Consider the following 17,104-nt stretch of genomic DNA (forward strand, 5'->3'; position numbering starts at 1 on the left):
GGCATATCATATATAGTACAGTGCCTTTTTCAGAGGACTTGAGCAGTATCTTTAGAAGCTTTACAGGACTCCCGGGAGGTACTATGATGGCTTCTATCAGTGTTCTCATTTTGCACACAGGAAAAGAGAGGCACAGAGAAAGCTGGCTAAAGTTGTGGAGCAAACCAGTTTCAGAATTAATACTAGAGTGATTTCCTTGATCATCTGATGCACATTGAGAGTATTTTGTTTAGCTCAAATCACTAAGTCTAGGATGGTCTGAATTTTTCATTTCATGTATCTCCCTCTTTTCCTCCCACCACCCCTTCTCCCCCAACCACACAGTCACATACACATGCACAGGTTTTGTGAGATGGAAGTGTGCTTGTCCTAATGGAGTTTCAATTATCAGCCCTGAAATATGACAGCATGACTTTTCTCAGTTCTCCAGGAAGCCTGCTCCCATTTTAGCTTTGCCTCTCATGGGCTATTCCCATTGGAAAAAGGACAGATTTTCTCATCCTTCCTGTTTGGAAGAGTTCTCATGCTTCTTGGTTGGAAGGCAGGGCTGACTGCAAGCCCACTTGAAGTTGTGTCAGGTGGTTTACATGATTTTGTCCTTGTCACCTGGGAGCTTGCCTGAGGGAATGCCCTGAATTGGCATAATAAATGCCACAGGAGATGGAAACCTCATCACTGTGCATGCATGTGGATCAGAGAGGAGACGCTTGGGAGTTAGGCCAGGCACTTAGGGTGGTGACTCATCCCGGAGCAAGGTGGGAAAAGCGGCAGATGGTGACCTGCCTCTCTGCACAATCATTGCAGATATTTAAAACCAGTTCTCAGGCACCAGAGGATTTTTTTTTTAAAAAAAGGTCAAATATAAACAGAGATAATTATAGGCATATTAACAGAGTCAGCACTCTTCTCATAGCGGAGTCCAAAATTATAGCAGAATTTCTGTCACCTGAAAAGCAAGGGGACAAGATGACTTCTTAAATTCCTTCCCCTCTGCCTGTCTCTATCCTTGCATCCTTCAAAGGTCAATTCAGTCCTGGAGCTTCCATGAAGATTTCAAGGCTAAATCTTTCTACCTTGACCTTTTCCTTTTCTGAACTTTCGTGGCATTTGTTACCTGAATACCATCTACCTACACAAAATGGGCTCAGATCTCTTACCCCTTATCTGGTGGTAAGTCCTATTTACTGGCCCGGGGGCTTTCTGAATTCTAGAGGGCTTATGTTTTCATGGTTACTTCTTGTTCCACTTTCTTGGTATTGCTAAAAATCTCTGTATCACTCATACCTCATCTCCTTTGAATGTTCTCTTCTCTCTTCCCAGATTTTAATCAGATACAGCCCCTTTTTCATGATCTCTCCAAAGACTTTCCACATAAGGCACAGAGGCATTTGTGTGCATGCAGGTTTTGCAGTAGACTTGGGGTGATGAGAACTTCTCTTGCCTAAATTATTCTGCCTGGCTTTTGAAATTCTAAACTAAAACAGGCTTATTGTATCAATTTAAGAATTCAGAGGGGTATAAAGAAAAATATAATAATTATTTCCTATCTCCTTCTTATTCTACTCTGTGATGTAGTCAGTGTTAATAATTGTTATGTAATCTTTTATATTTTTCTATGCTTGAACATACACAAAATATAGGTACACACCCACAGAAGTTTCCCTTTATGTATAAAAAAAACTGTTCATTTCTTATGGAGAGCAGTTTAGATTGCTTTCTGTCTCCATCTCTCTCTTTCTTCCCTGTGAATCCTTCTAAATTATGCTCTAGGGCTTCAACTTTTATAACTAAAATGAACTATTAAGATATTTCACTAAACAAAAGACCAGGAGGAAATTATGCCACCTCTCTATCAGGAGAAGGGGATGTTGTCAGCTGTGGTTTTAAATAAGATTTTTTTCTCACTTTGCTATACACTTATGGTCGAGAACACACCATTTAGCACTTGCTTCTTAGAGGTCCTAGTTCATATCTCCTTGTTTTGGATCCCTAACTGATTCAAAGTCTGTAGATGTCTTACACTTTCCTTGACTTCTAGTCAGAGTCTAGCTTATAACAAGCCAGTACTCCATAATTAAAGTACTTTTTGTCCTTTTGGTTCTATAATTTATGAAAGCTGCCTGAATTTGGAAACTCTCTTAATCGAAAGTGCCTTTTTAATGATGTACCCTTTCTAAATGGGTCACATCTCTAGCCCTTCCCCTCAAGGGCAATAACTATTCCAGGCATCCCTGAAGAACTAAGAAAAGACGCTACTATCATGAATGCCCATGATCTCATGTAGGAGAAAAGAAAAATGAAGCAGGACGGGGAAATGGTACGTACGGGTGGCCACCTTGGCAGTGATGGGAAGGCTGAGGATGTTGCTAATGACAGCGTAGACGCTGATGTTGTAGGTGAGACCTGGCTCCAGCTCCGTGATGGTGACACCACTCCAATCTCCAGGCACCCGCTGCTGGAGCTGGAGGCCCCCCAGGGCCGTCGGCTGGTAAGAGATCACATATTCCGTCACTGCCATCGGCCCGTCCCATTCCAGCTCAATGGACCTGTCGCTGATACCAGCCACTCGCAAGTCCTCTGGAGGGGCAACTACCGGGAGGCAATACACAGATAGCATGAGCTCAGAGGATTGCCTTCCCCATCCTGGACTCAACTTTCTTCCTCACATCTCACCCCCCATGCCATGTCTATATGTCCTGCTGGGCTCAATGGCTTTAAGTGATTTGTAACTTCCTTTGTGAGCAGGCTCTTGTCTTTTTGGTGCTTAGTACCCCAATCTCTATAAGGTCATGAACATGCACTGGAGCCAGCTCCTACTGGCTTGTAAATGCTGATTGTCAAATTTTCAGGACTGTTTCAAGACTGTCGTTGAATACAGCCATTATTAAAGATTCAATTTTATAACCTAATACTTAAGTAAATTATATTAAAAATAAAGGTAATAGATATTCAAAATTTATCACTCTCAAATTATTTGACTACATTTTACTATTATGTGTACCTTTAAGATAATTTATGTGTGCTCTGTCTGGTGAAAATATTCTATGATTGTACTCTACTACACATCTGTTTCCAGCTCCATGTTTACTGACGTCATGTTGGTAATTGAAATTGGCCATGGAGAGAGTATTTACATCATGGAAACTGGCAAATGCTACACAACGGGGCTTTTAAATTTTTTTCCTTTAGGGAGCCAGGTTGTTAGGTATTTAACAGCACACCACTGGCCAACATTTTTGGTGGTTTAATAAGTTATCGTCATCAGATTACCCTGGGAGCCAATATCTGATTTGGCAAGTGGAAATAAAGACTCATTCCTGATTATCTTGCAAATTATGAGAAGCCAAAACAGTAAGTCCTGGATACCACGGCCTGATGAAGACACTCAACAGCCCATTATTGTAGAATTTTCCCTTTTAAAGACCACTTATGTTCTGAAAGAAATCTAGCTTGTGTTAAACTAATTTTTATTAGCCTCAATCTTGGAGATGATGATGATAAAAAAACATTCTTGAGGACCTTGCTTTACTTTCTTCTGATTTCTCAAATGCTACTTGGAGTCACCAAAGGGTAAAACACAGAGAAATAGACTTTTGTGTATCGTCTTGGAAAATGAAGATTCACCAGTGTTGTGGCCATTAAATAATCAAGCCTTTAAGACTAACTAAGAGGCTAACTCCAGTGTGTCTGTAATTAGACCTGCCCATAGATTAAATCAAAGATCAAGCCGATATTTAAATGGTCATTATTAACTTATAAATTTATATGTAGTGGAGGCTTCGATGAGTTTAAGAGTTGTCATAGGTTTTGAATTTCTCCCCTGGGTAATCTCACCCCTCCCCTTTACAACCAGGTAGGCTGAGGCCAGCTGTGTTTTGCTGGACCTTGTGAGTGGAGAGTGCTGTCTCCTCATTGTACTCACATGTGCACCCTCAAATCCTCAGCAAAGACAGAGACACAAGGAGACCTTTAACAGATCCAAGACTCACAGGATAGAATCAGCAGCATATATATGCACTGCTGGACATTTGCTTCAATTACTTTTGCCTAAAACCATTCATTGAATAAAACAGTCTAGAAAGCAGAGCTTCTTGAGGATGGCAAATGTTGACCAAAACAAAAATTAAAAAAAATTTTTGTTTAAAATTTATAAAACTCAAGAAGTGTAAACGAAATTTAAATAAGCTTTCAAATGATGTTTTATAAACTGTATCACCTATAGTTTTGACCTTATTAAAGCTTTGAATTTCACTAAAACCTTTGGGACAACCTATATAACACATACAGAATGACTCCTAGGCCATGAGAAGAAGAGTTGATATTTAGAACCTGTCAGGATTTTGCATGATTATACTGAGCACTTATTATGTACCAAGTACAATGCTAACCACTTTTACATAGATTATTTCAATTCACCCTCTCACCAACACCATGGGATTAAGGTATCATTATTACTACCATTTTATAGATGACGAAATTGGGCCACACAGTCAGCAAACATAGAAGCTAGGATTAGAATGCAGGCAGAATGACTATAAACCTTCTTAGCCAATATACAATACCACTTTACATTTATATAGCATTTCACAGTCTATAAACTATTTTCATATATACCATCTAACAAGAATTTAAAAAAATATTTAGTAGCAGTCATATGAGGTAGTTCATGTAGAGATAATTATCCCAGCTTTACCAATGAGGAAACTGAATCCCAGGTTAAGGGATGTGCCAAAAGTCAGAGTGGGTCATAGCAGAACTGACTGTCAAACCCTGATGTTCTACAGTTTTCATTCTTTCCCCTACAATTTAGACAGCAGGTTACAGATTGCGCGAGATGCCTCCTTTCATTTATACATGGTGTCCCAAAGTAAACTATATTAGGAATAATTCAGACGATCTTAATAGGTGTGATCTCTAGACTGGTGCTCATCCTACAGGTAAGAAAATTCTTTTTAAACAGGTTCTCTAGTGCCTGTCTCCTGTGATTCAACACATTAACTCCAGGTTTCCTATGCAGGACTTCTGTCATAGTGGCAGAAATGGCCACTCCAAATTTCAAGTCACCAGCAATTCTTAGGGCATTTGGAACAAATCAGCGTATTCCTTTTTGCTTCCTTCTTCAAAGCTAATATTAACAATAGAGGGTGATCTAAGAAGAGCATTTTGGGATTTTAAAGCAAAAAAAAGAGGTGCAGAAGGATTTTTAAAAAAATCTTGGCAACTTAGCTTGAGGCCTGAGCCTGGTGGTAAAGTTGCCTACACTTCTGAATGAGAAAGCAGCAACTGGCGTCATTCCTCGTGGAAGTGGTCTTGACAATGGTGGCTCAATGGAGGAGACCACCACCACTTTCACTCTAAATTAGCAGCAACTATGTACACTAGGCATCAGTAATCCTTATAAAAGAAAATTATATTGAACTGTACTGCAAACAATCAAAGAGCCTCATGCCTTAATTCAATGAATTCACGGTGGGTGCAAAGTATTCTTAGCCTTACTTTCTTTGGGGTGTCAACTTTGAAACTTGAGGAAGAGCATGCTGTTAAAGAGGAATAAACTGTGGCTTGAGGAATCAGGGTTGCTTATCTGCAAAGATGCCATGCTGTTTCCTCTTTAGATTTTGCATAAATGTTGCACTTATGTGGTGAGAGCAGTTGGAATTAGTTCCATGATGTGTCTTACTCCAAAGAGTAAGTGGTTTCGGGTGCCAAAGGTTGGGCTGGCTGCAGTCCTGACAGAGCAGAGGCTGACACTGATGAATCTCCGCAGGTCTGACTGAAGTCCAGGAAACAGCTTTCTGGATTGTCTCAAGACCCTGTTCTGATGGTTCTTTTATCCTGCTGGCTCCGGGGGAGTTTTGGCCAGCTCCCTGGCCAGCCCCAGCACTAACCACCATCACTGGGGACAGATGTGGACAAATGGTTGAATGTGCTTTTCCACCCTACCTCTGACGTCTCATTTTTTTAATCATGTGATGGAGCTCAGCTTTCATATCAAAGGCTACTTCTTTGTGTATATGGCTTTAAAATTTTTATTTTTCAATTCTATTCTACTTTGCATTCCAGAGAAGATAAAAGAGTGCTAGAAGCTGGTAGGAGACCAGGATTCTTTTTCTTACTCCGCCATTAATTAGCTGTCTGGCTCTGGGAAAATCTGTCTCACTGACTGCTGCTTTTTAAATCTGTAAAATGAGAAGCTTCTTTCTAAGGCCTGTTTTAAGTTCTCATATTCATGAATGTTTTGTTCTATTATCTGTACATGGGCAGAGAATGGAGGCAGAAGTCTTGAGATTTTGTCCCTTGGCACACTATGAGGATAGATCAAGGCTAGGAGTCAAAAGTAGTGACCTTGGCAACACTATTCAATTGTGCTTAAGTGCTGCAGACCTAGGGGGCCTCAGAATGCAATCCACACAATGGGCAGCTATTTTCTACGCCCTTGCCAAAGAGAAAAGAATGCCCTATAACGAAGTATATTTTGTGGCTCTCAGTGTTTTCACCTTCCTAACCCTTCTCTCTCCTCTCCTCAGTCCCATGGGCAATGGGAACATCGTGCTGTGGTGTGTGCACCCGGCCAGGAACGTCAAACAGTGGATAAATAGCCCCTTCTCCTACAGTCTTTTCACAAAGAGCAAGCAAAGGAGCACTTTAGATAATGACCTAGATACTTCTCTGGAAGAGACCTGTAGCACTTGGTTTAAAAAGCAGGCCTTAAGAGCAGACCTCCTGCAAATGAGTGGTGGCTCTAGGGTTGCTATAGAAACAGATGGAGATTATGCAACTGTCCTTCTTCACATGCTTTGGGAACCTGTAAAGTAATTTATCTGGGCCTATTGAAGTGTTCCTCAAGCAGCACAGAGGTACCATGTCAGAGGTAACGTGCTCATAGTTTGGACTCAACCCAGTTGTAGCTATGCTAGCAGCTGCTGAGTCTTCCCTGAGGTAGCCAGGAGGGTTCAGTGTAAGTCCTGGATTAGATCAAGATTTTGTTTGCAAATGAACCTATCCCTGTAGAAAGGCAGGGTCAAGAATATGACAGGTATGTCCAGACCGCCAAAGAGTAAGTCTACTAAGAAGCATGTGCGCTACAGAATAGCATTAACACAGCGATGGCCCACACTGACCCTGGGTGTCCTCCAGATGGGGTCTCATGGAGCCTCATCCCCTGGATGGAAACTGGAGCCATTTGTCAGCCTGGCTTCCCAGAAGGTGCCTAGTGACTTTGGATTCAGAAACAATAAGGCTTAACTTCTGCTTGAATTTCACTTTGGGATAATTGGTGTGGTGACAATATTTTTAGAAAGATATTTCAATTCAGTAAACAAAATTGGGAGGCTAAATGAAATAATTGGATATGGAAAAAATTAAGGAACATTAAATTTTTTTCCCTAAGCACAGTGCATTATTGTTGTTTTTCTTTTCATTATTACCATTGATTTTTGAAAATAATTTAAGTTGAAGTTACATGTGCGGGAACATTGCCTGCCACGTAGGAGTGAGTAACTCTGGCTTACAGAAGTCTGGTGAATCCGGCTTACCAGGCTTTCCCCCTTAAACTGATGTCACATGACTTATCAGCAAATTCCTAAAATTGCTCCATTAGAAGGTTTAAAATGTTTGTTTGTTGTTATTTTTTATTTTAAATAATCCCAGTGGGCTCTCTGAGCCCTGAATGGAAAAGACCAACCACTTAATCTGTACTGTTTAAAACATAAACAAATGTATGAGCAGTAGTCACTGATTTAGTCAGAAGAGGATGAGCTATAGTGAAATAATAAACATAATCTGATTTGCATAAAAAAGGGAATCAGGCCGGGCGCGGTGGCTCACGCCTGTAATCCCAGCACTTTGGGAGGCCGAGGCGGGCGGATCATGAGGTCAGGAGATCGAGACCATCCTGGCTAACAAGGTGAAACCCCGTCTCTACTAAAAATACAAAAAATTAGCCGGGCGCGGTGGTGGGCGCCTGTAGTCCCAGCTACTCGGGAGGCTGAGGCAGGAGAATGGTGTGAACCCGGGAAGCGGAGCTTGCAGTGAGCCGAGATTGCGCCACTGCAGTCCGCAATCCGGCCTGGGCGACAGAGCGAGACTCCGTCTCAAAAAAAAAAAAAAAAAAAAAAAAAGGGAATCAGCCCCAATGAGATACTTTTTTTTTTTTTTCTCACTGTTGGGTTTAGATCCCCATTTTAGTACATCATCCTTCTATCAGCTTTGACAGTGTAGACTATACATAGGGTTGGTTCTAATTTGCTAGATAGTCATCTGGAACAAAGTGAGTCATACTCTTAATATTCTGTACTAATTGTTAGCATGTTAGCTGTTGCCCAATGTCCTTAGTACTTTATTCCTGTTTAGATTTAAGTCCTTGTCTAAAAACACTCTGCCCCACTGGAATCACTTCATAAATTAATAACATCTTGCAATCTGTAAGCTCCAAGATAATCAGAGAGCCTCACAGACCAACCACCATCTCTTGCAGTAGCATTGTGGAAGGCATTCCTGGAATATGGCAACTGGTGAGGGAGACAATTTTGAGCAGGTGGAACGCTTGGGATCCCTCAGAGTTAGAGAATGGCCTTGCCTAAGGTGGTCCCATGACTTCACTGTCTACCCTCCCCCACCTCAAGGGCAATGAAGTGTTGTCATCATTGTTACCACTACCTTTTTCCTAGTCTCAGGGGTAACAATCCAGCTCTCAGCCTGAACTTGACCTTTTCCTATTTCCACTCTTTATCCCTTTTAATCTGCCTCATCAAGACTCAAGAACTCAGCTCTCTTGGAAAGCAAATGAGTACAACTCAATTGAGAATTATTTTGCCTAAACTTCACTTTCTCACTCATCTTTCTTCCCAAGCTAACTGGAGGCATCCAGCTAGTTTGCTGGACCACCCTTGCCAAACACCCCAGAGAGTTCCCCTGCCTACCTGCTGAGCAGTCAGGGCCCTGGTAGCCCTCTTCACAGACGCAGAGCCCCTCCTCACATTGTCCTCGCCCACTGCAGGCATTCAGACACTGCCGCTGGCCGCAGTCCTCACCAACGTAGCCCTCCTCGCATAAACAGGTACCGTTGGCACATCTCCCCTTCCCCGAACAGTCCCCAGGGCACCTCAGTTCCCTGCAGTCCTCGCCAGTGTAGGGCTCTTCACAGACACACTCCCCGTCCACGCAGAGCCCCCGGGAGCTGCAGTCTGTTGGGCACCGGAGTTCGGAACAGTCATCCCCGCTGTACTCGCTGTCACAGATGCACTGGCCATCCACACACACCCCCCGGCTGGAGCAACCCAGCGGGCAGTAGGGCTCCGAGCAATTCTTGCCAAACCAGCCTTCGTTGCAGATGCAGCCACAGGACTCAAAGCTAAAGTTGCCGTGGCCACTGCAGTGAGGGATATAGTCCAGTTGTCCTGGAATGGTCAAGGAGAAGGTCAAAGAGCAGCAGTGGCCTCTCCTGTCAATGGTGCTGGGGAAGGATGGGCAAAGGCCTCTCTACTCATTCTCTGACCAGATTTCTGTTGCTGAGAGTGAAGCTCAACGTAGTTTGGTACATATTCAATTTAATAAATATTTTCACCTAGCATGGGCTGTCTGTGCCTAGCACAGGGCTGGGGGCAAAGATGAATGAGATCTGGGCCCTTGTCCTCCAGAAGCTGACCTTTAAGGTGTCTTAGGATGGATTCCTTAGAAGTAGGTCTTTGCTAAAGATTCATGTAAAAGTGATTTATTGGAAGGTGTTCCCAGAAAAAACTGGTAGGGAAGAGTGGAAAGTTGGGAAGGGAACGTGCTCAAGCCCAGGTGCATTATCAAGCCAAGTTCCAGAAGAGTCACTTGGGTTCAGTTCTGCAGGGTGCTCTGGGCAGTGCAGGTCACATCTCATTGTGGGTTAAGGTCTATGTCCCTGAGGGCATGCGAATCCCCCAGCCCCTCATTCTCTCTCTGGGCAGCCCAAGAAGTTTCCAACAAACTGAGGACAGCCTTCTCACCAGGATGCCCAGGTGCTGGCTATGGGATTTTGTGAGGGACCTAAGGAGGTATAGGCTGAGCACTGAGTCCACTGTGCAGAGAAAGGTCTTATGTGTTACAAACCTGTCTCGCTCCCTCCCTGCCTGCCATCTGACTCACTCTGCTCATTCATCAAAACCCAGCTCCATGGTTACTTCAAAGGCTCCCCAGGACCTCACTCTCATTTAGTTACTGTTTGCTATGACCCCTCTGGGATTCTACGCATGTCTCTGTCCTAGACCTTACTGTGGGATAACTACAGTGGTTAATTTATCTGCCTAGCATGATTCAAGTAAACGTATTAAACAAATACAAATGGAGTACCTGCTGGCATCCTTCTTTGCACTTGGCCTTGAGGATATGAAGTCTAGTAAGTTACATCCTTGTTTAATTCTGCCACTTCATGCCGCCCCCATGAAAATATACTTTACTGACATTATTTAACTTAGCTCTTCCTTGCAGATTTTTCCCATGTTTGCCAGGGATCCTGGTGGAAGGCTGGCAAAAAGTTCACTTATAGAAGCCCCAGCTTCCTGAGCTGCAGAGTCCATGCTCATGGAAACCTAGGACTTTCCCCTATTCTCCTGCTCCATTGAAAAGACAAGCTGACCTGACCATTGTCATTGAAGCACAGGAGAACTGGACTTGCTCTTCTGTTCTGCAGATTGTTTTATTTATAGTGTTGGTTATTGGGAGGAGAAGGAGGTGAAAGGAACCCATGAAATATTTTAGTCCTCAGTGACTGCCTCTAGACTTGCTGTGTCTCAGGGTGAATGTGTCAGGTACCCCTCTACATCTGCGGGCCATCCAGGCTCTGTTAAAATTTCACTCTGCCACCTCCAGCTTTCATCCCCGTGAAAGCCTTGAGATCATGGATCCTATAGAGGTGAGTGCTTGAACTCAAGACAAATGCCTCTTGTCATCAAAGAACTGAATTGCATGGGGTCTAAGGTACCTTTTGGGAGAGAAAACCTGTGCACAAAGGGGTACAGATACAGTTCCCACTCATTGGCGTCAGCCGATAATAGCTGTTGCTTATACGTTACTTACAGAAGCCAGGCTGACATCTGAATAGGTGCTTTTATTGTTAATAACTTCTTGTTGCTCTAGTCTAGCACCATTTGTAGATGAGGAAAGGAAGGCACAGATATGGAACTGCTTAGGTCATCAGCTAGGAAGCAGTAGAGCCAGGATCTGAACTTGGGAATTCTGACTCTGAAGACTTAATTATGTCTTGCAGAGAGGTAAAGGTAACTCACAAGGGTTACTAATTAGGGGGTGGGCAATGTTAGAAGTAAATCCCCTGAGATTTCAGCCTTTTGGAGGGTGCACTAAGTTGTGTGAGTGTGTTGTGTGTGAGAGCATGCGTGTGTGCATGCGTGAGAGAGAGAGTATGTGTGTGTGAGAGTGTGTGTGTGTGTGTGTGTGTGTGTGTGTGCATACGCTTCTGTGTGCTTTTTGAGGGGGCAGGGGCTAAAGCTTCCATCTCACTGGAGAAGATGGGGATAGGTCCTCTGAGACCTTAATGACTATCATCTACTCAGATGGGAGAAAGGCTGCGATTGAGTGAACAGAGCGTCTGCATTCTCTAGTCCCTCAGGTTAACATGGATAGATATCAATTCAACAGCCTGTGAAAACCAAAGATGAAAGAAGACAGACATCAAATTCCCTGCTCGCCATCGAAGTTGCTGTGCTGAACCGATGAACCATTACCTGACTCATCCCCCCAAAATCAGGTTAATGTATTTCAAACTGGCTATGCAGTGTAGAAAATCCCTGAACTGAATCCCTCGGGGAAGAACTGCATTTAGATCTTAGAGACATATTAACCGGCAGCTACAGACTAGGACACTTTTTTCCTTTGACCGTGTGAAGAGATGCCGGGGTTTTGCTGGGAGTGCGTTTTCGCTGGAAGTGCATTGGTCCTTCTTGTTCACTCTCCCTCTCTGCTCAGCCCTCTCCTTCCCCTCCTGAGACCACGCTGCGAGCTCCCGGACTCTACCTGTGGCAGCACTTTCTTGGCAGCAGTTGGCGTTGCACTGGTCTCGCAGCACCGACACCTCCCTCTCCAGCATCTCGATCCGGCTCAGCAGCTCCTGCAGCACCTGGGCTGAACTGGCACATGGACAGGCCTTTTTGGGGAAGTTGATCCTGTGTGTAAAGGTGACCTGGCTCTCGTGGTCTGAGGTCTGGCCCATGTACTCTGCCAGAGTCTCGTCTTCTGCACTCACCTCCTGCTCAGCAGAGGCCTCTAGCCCTGAGGAGCAGAGGTTGTCCAAGGGCACGTTAATGTTGTACACGTGGTTGAAGACCACAGGCTGCTCTTTGCTGGATGTGTTGTAGTTGGCAATGCCTCCCTCCTCCTCCACTGACTGTCTCTGGACCCTTTCTGTGGTGACCTCCAGCTGACACTCTGAAGGCTTGATCATGGAGCCCAGAAGGATCAGGTTGATGCCAATGAGCATGTTCTTCAGAACCACTGTTTCCCCATCTGCCCCCATCCTCTCAGCCAGAGATCTGGGTTCAGGACCAGCCTGCAGCACACAGCATGGAGTTGTGGGAATCTGCAACGGAAACCAAGGAAAGAGACAACCTCTGAGACCTATGCCTTGGCACCATGGCTCTGCACAAGCCTACAAAGCTCAGGAGTAGGCAGCCAGAGATTTTCAAGGGGGGGGCGTCAGGAAGGGACAGTGGCTGCCAATGTCATAAAGGCCCAGGACTTTGTTCCTTAAAGGACTGGACCCCTGAAAATGGACACTGCTTCTGCATACTATTTTGTTTTCTCAAAAGGCTTATCTAGAACACACAGGTCTGGTCCCATGGTGGGCAAATGGTTCTTGGAGGAAACATGAGGGCTGGGGGCTGGGGCCCTGTGGATGGGCTGTTCCTCTGAGGAGAACTCAGAGTTTCTTTTCACTTCTAGGTGAGAAATTGGACCAGGGAGCCTTGGGTGTCCTCTCCTATTTCCCCAGATATTTATTGCAAAGGGACTCTGCCAGCCACTTCAAAATAACTTCATGAGCTCCTCTCAGCTCATCTATCCATACAAATTGTCTTCAGAATAACCAGCCAGGCAAATAATATAGTTCCAGGTAATTGTGATTGTTAATAAACCTTGGGTACATTTGTGATTATCTAGGGCTGTGTGAGCTGAACTTTCTTTTAATCTTCTTGTCAGTATAGTCCTCATGCTCTGTGACCACCAGGTGCTTTTCTTCCAAGTTCCTGTTTAAATTGGTAAAATAATGAATTAGCTCCTCTGCTGGTTACCTAGTCACCAAGAACCATAGAGTACAATAAACTCACTGGGATGCAAATCAGTTTTACAGAAATTTTATTCCTTTTGTATTCTCTATGCAAAACAGAAAAGAGATTTACAAAACTTGGTTCTAAAAGTTAGAGCTACTAAGAAGATTAAGGACTAAGGGACCAAGTGAGTGTGACTATTCGTCGGAGAAGAAGGTCACAACTAGGATTTACTGTATTTGCACTCAGCACAGACTGTGCTGTGCCCCTCACACAGGAGTCTACATGACCCTCAGGACAACCTTATGATGGGTCACTATGAATAGCCCCATCTTCTAATGGAGGAAGTTCTTCCAAGAGAGGTTAAGATTTGAATGCAGGTCTGACTCCAAAACCTGTGTTATCAATTACTATGTCCCAGGGCTTTTCTTGAAAAGAGTGTTCAATTTTCTCTTGTCTTTGATGGAAACTGTGTAATTTCTAAGATCTTCCCAGGAATATCGCGATTAGAAAATTTTGCTAGGGTCAGATTCAATGTTCTTTTCTCCATAAGCATTTGTCTCTCATCTTTTCCCTCCTGCCTCCTCTGCTATTCTCCCAAATGCAGGCTGAATTCATGTCCCTCTCTTCCAGGCCCCACTTCTGACAGCACTTGCCATGCTAGACCGTGGGTTTCCTTTGCCTGCTTCTCCCCACCTGGACTGCTAAGTCCTTGTCGGTCAGACCGTGTCTTATCTGCAATGTGTGACCGTCGCTTCAGGACGGCGAGAGTGCTCAGTGCATAGTTGTTGAATAAGTGGATAAGTAGATCCCTGGAAGGATGGAAAGATGAATTCATGAGAAAATGCTCAGTGAGCAAAAGGTTAAATCATTCTCCAACTAATTTAATCCCTCTCCATTATCCTCAAGTTAGATACTGGTCTGTTCCATTTCAGTTCTGAAAAAAATGCCTGAGGGTTGATTTTATTAGGAGTAACCTGTATTAGTGCCTAGTATAAAATCATGCCTTATTATTCAGCCCTTGCATTATATACTAGACTATAGTCTGTCCCTGCTTCCAATATGGACAGGGAGCAGACCAGAGCAGAGCTGTTGAGACTATAGACTCTGGAGCCTATAGAGTCTCTGTTTAGGTTCAAGCCTCAGCTCTTTCATTTTCTAGCTGTGGGAAGATCACTTAAGCTCTCTGTGCCTCAGTTTCCCTATCTATAAAGTGGAGATAATAATGGTACTTATCTTACAAGGTTGGAGGGCTAATGGAATTATTATCTGTATAATATTCACCCAGAACCTGGCATTAACTAACATAAATAAATATTGTTTGCAGACAAGTGGAATAATTGTTCCAGTTCTTCCCCTAGTCAAGGACTTCCCTGAAATCACTGGAACATATGAAATGTGTTATCCATTTGTGGACAGCAGAAAAGCCCAATCCTTAACACAGCCTTATCCAAAGATGGGTGAGATCCTTGGAGCAATGTGGGAAATGATGATCTGTTGGTCACTTCCAGACAAGGTAAATAAACCTTGGGGATAGGTAGAGTGACATGTTGGAATCAAATTGCCCTCCTAACTGTAAGCTCCTAAAGCCGCCTCTCATCCAAAGCTCTACTCGCCTTCTCACTTTCAGGATCCCTAGGCGTGACTTTCTTGAGCATCACTTCTACCCTCCTATCATTGAAAGTCTCCAGAAACAGCTCTGCTATCAGTCATTTACACACAGACGGGGTCTTGGCTATCTTTCTTATTGAATCCAAGTTTGTTTATCTGATCCATGTGGATATTGCTAAATAACTTTTTCTTCTGGGAATTGGAAAATGATCACATAACACCCCGTAGCACATAACAGCTTTTTTGCACATAGTTGACACTCAAAATAAGTGAATGAATAAATGACATTATCAACGAAAAGGAAGACAAGTGACAGGGAAATTAAGAGAGAAAAATGTTAGGTCCTACACTTTTAGGTCCAAAGTGACAGCTACAAAATTACATAGAGGGGGAAAGGTACAGCTTTATGTGTAAAAAAACACTAAATACTTTAGTCGATAACTAAACTTGCTATGAGTTGGTCAACGGTGTGATTTTTGTAACTACCGAAATCTTATTCAAATGTAGGTTTTATTAATTAAAATATAGGATAAAAGATAGACAAGGGTCTATGTTGTTCTACTCTTTACTGCACTGATTATTGATCACTTCTAGGTGCCTGGGATGTTGAAGGGACTCAAAATCCTATAATATGAGAGGGAAAAGTTTAGCATTTTGGCCCAAAGATGTGAAGACTCAGGGGGTACATTTATTCATTTATCATTCATTCATTTGACAGATATTTATTAAGTACCTATTATATGCTGGTCTTTTTCTTTATAGAAGTTGCATTCAAGTGTGTGTGGGTGGGTGGGTTGGGCATATAAATAAATACCACAGACAATTATATATGTCATACATAATGTATTATATAATAGAAATTATGTGACATTTAATATGTGATAATGCAACACACATGAGTTTGTGTTTGTGTCAGGAAGTGGTAACTGCTATGGAGGGAGCAGGGGTGTTAACAGGGCAGGTCGACATTGTATAGGGCATGGTCAGGACAGGCTTCTCTGATAAGCTGACAGCTGAGAGGACACCCGACAGAAGTGGGGTGGTGAGCTGAATAGATAGTGAGGGAACAGTGAGTTTGAGTCTCTAAGGCAGGGGCCGGCCTGGTGAATTTGAGACATAGTGTGGCTGGGGCCAAATGAACAAGGGAGCCCTGTGGGGAGATAAGGTCAGAGAAGTAGTGGGGGCCAGGTCATGCCCAGCCTTGTAAACCCCTGTAAGTTATTTGGCTTTTACACTGGATAGATGGTCACTGTTCTCAAATGCATCCACATATCAAACATGTATTATGCCCTAACCTGTCCTTGAGAAACTCTCATTTTCATGGAGGAGATGAAAACACAAGCAATATAACGACAATGCAATGTGATAATTACCATGGCTAACAAATACATCAGCTGCTCTGAGAAGGCTGGAGGAGATGCTAGCAACTCTGCCGGGGGCTGCAGGGAGGGGCACGCAAAGTGGGTGGGGTGGCCATCAGTGTCGTTTGCCAAATATTTCTGGCCTGGCTTTCCAGGACTGCATCTTCCAGCCCTGTCTTGGTTAAGTGAGGCCATGGCACTAGTTCTGGCTGATGAATTGTGAGAGGAAGTGGTGTGTGTCTTTTCTGGGCTGGTACATTAACATTGCTGATGGGAGACACCCTAGAGCTTTCTCTCTCTGGAGGTGACTGGCAGAGTTCAAGATGGTGGCTGCTCTGCTCTGCCAGCCTGGGCCTCTGAGTGACCACAGAGTTTCCTGCTGACTCACAGTGGACATGTCATGTGAGAACATGTCATGTGAGAAATAATCTTTTGGTGTTTGAAGCCCAGATTTGGGGATTGCTTTTTCCCACCACGTAACCTACCCTATCAGGGGATAATACCAAACTTGACTTTAATGGATTATTCTTTAGGTGGAGAAGGCCAAAGTTCATTTCACACAGAAGAACTTACATTTGCTAAAACTATGATATGTGCAAGAGCATGGCTTGTTCGATGAATGCAAATATTTGAAGGGTTGTAAAATGCTAAGTATATGGCAAAAGGTCCCAGGGAAGTGGTTTCCACCAAATGGGAGAATCTACAAGGAAACAGATTTTAGCTCAAAATACAGACTAGCATTGCTAATAATGAAAGTTACCTGGGTGTCATGGTAAGTAGTGACTTCCTGGTCACTGGAAGTGTTCAGGTACAAGCGGAAACACAACTTAATGAGAGTGTTGAAGAGGGGATGTTAAGCATCAGATGAGCGATTGGGCTAGAACGAAC

At 43.5% G+C, this 17,104-nt stretch overlaps 1 protein-coding gene across 2 annotated transcripts in view, besides 1 other annotated feature; it reads right to left on the minus strand.

The window, feature by feature from the left end:
• Positions 1 to 17,104, minus strand: part of TNR (tenascin R) — a 428,402-nt gene that overhangs the window by 79,025 nt on the left and 332,273 nt on the right. The window contains exons 3-5 of one of the 2 annotated variants that reach the window (NM_001328635.2): positions 11,998 to 12,559; positions 8,922 to 9,398; positions 2,326 to 2,485 (exon numbers count right to left, since the gene is read on the minus strand). In NM_001328635.2, coding sequence (NP_001315564.1) covers positions 2,326 to 2,485; positions 8,922 to 9,002 — 241 coding nt within the window. In that variant the 5' untranslated portion in view covers positions 9,003 to 9,398; positions 11,998 to 12,559. Of the gene's footprint in view, positions 1 to 2,325; positions 2,590 to 8,921; positions 9,399 to 11,997; positions 12,560 to 17,104 lie in introns of both variants that reach the window. The other variant, NM_003285.3, reaches the window with a different exon arrangement.
• Positions 6,106 to 6,634: an enhancer, noted in NCBI's record as "NANOG hESC enhancer chr1:175369460-175369988 (GRCh37/hg19 assembly coordinates)". NCBI's record gives its function as "activates a minimal SCP1, AML or CMV promoter by ChIP-STARR-seq in naive H9 embryonic stem cells {active_cell/tissue: H9 hESC(naive)}" and the evidence as "EXISTENCE:reporter gene assay evidence [ECO:0000049][PMID:30033119]".

The sequence above is a fragment of the Homo sapiens genome, chromosome 1, assembly GCF_000001405.40.
Source record: "Homo sapiens chromosome 1, GRCh38.p14 Primary Assembly".
Classification (NCBI taxonomy): domain Eukaryota; kingdom Metazoa; phylum Chordata; class Mammalia; order Primates; family Hominidae; genus Homo; species Homo sapiens.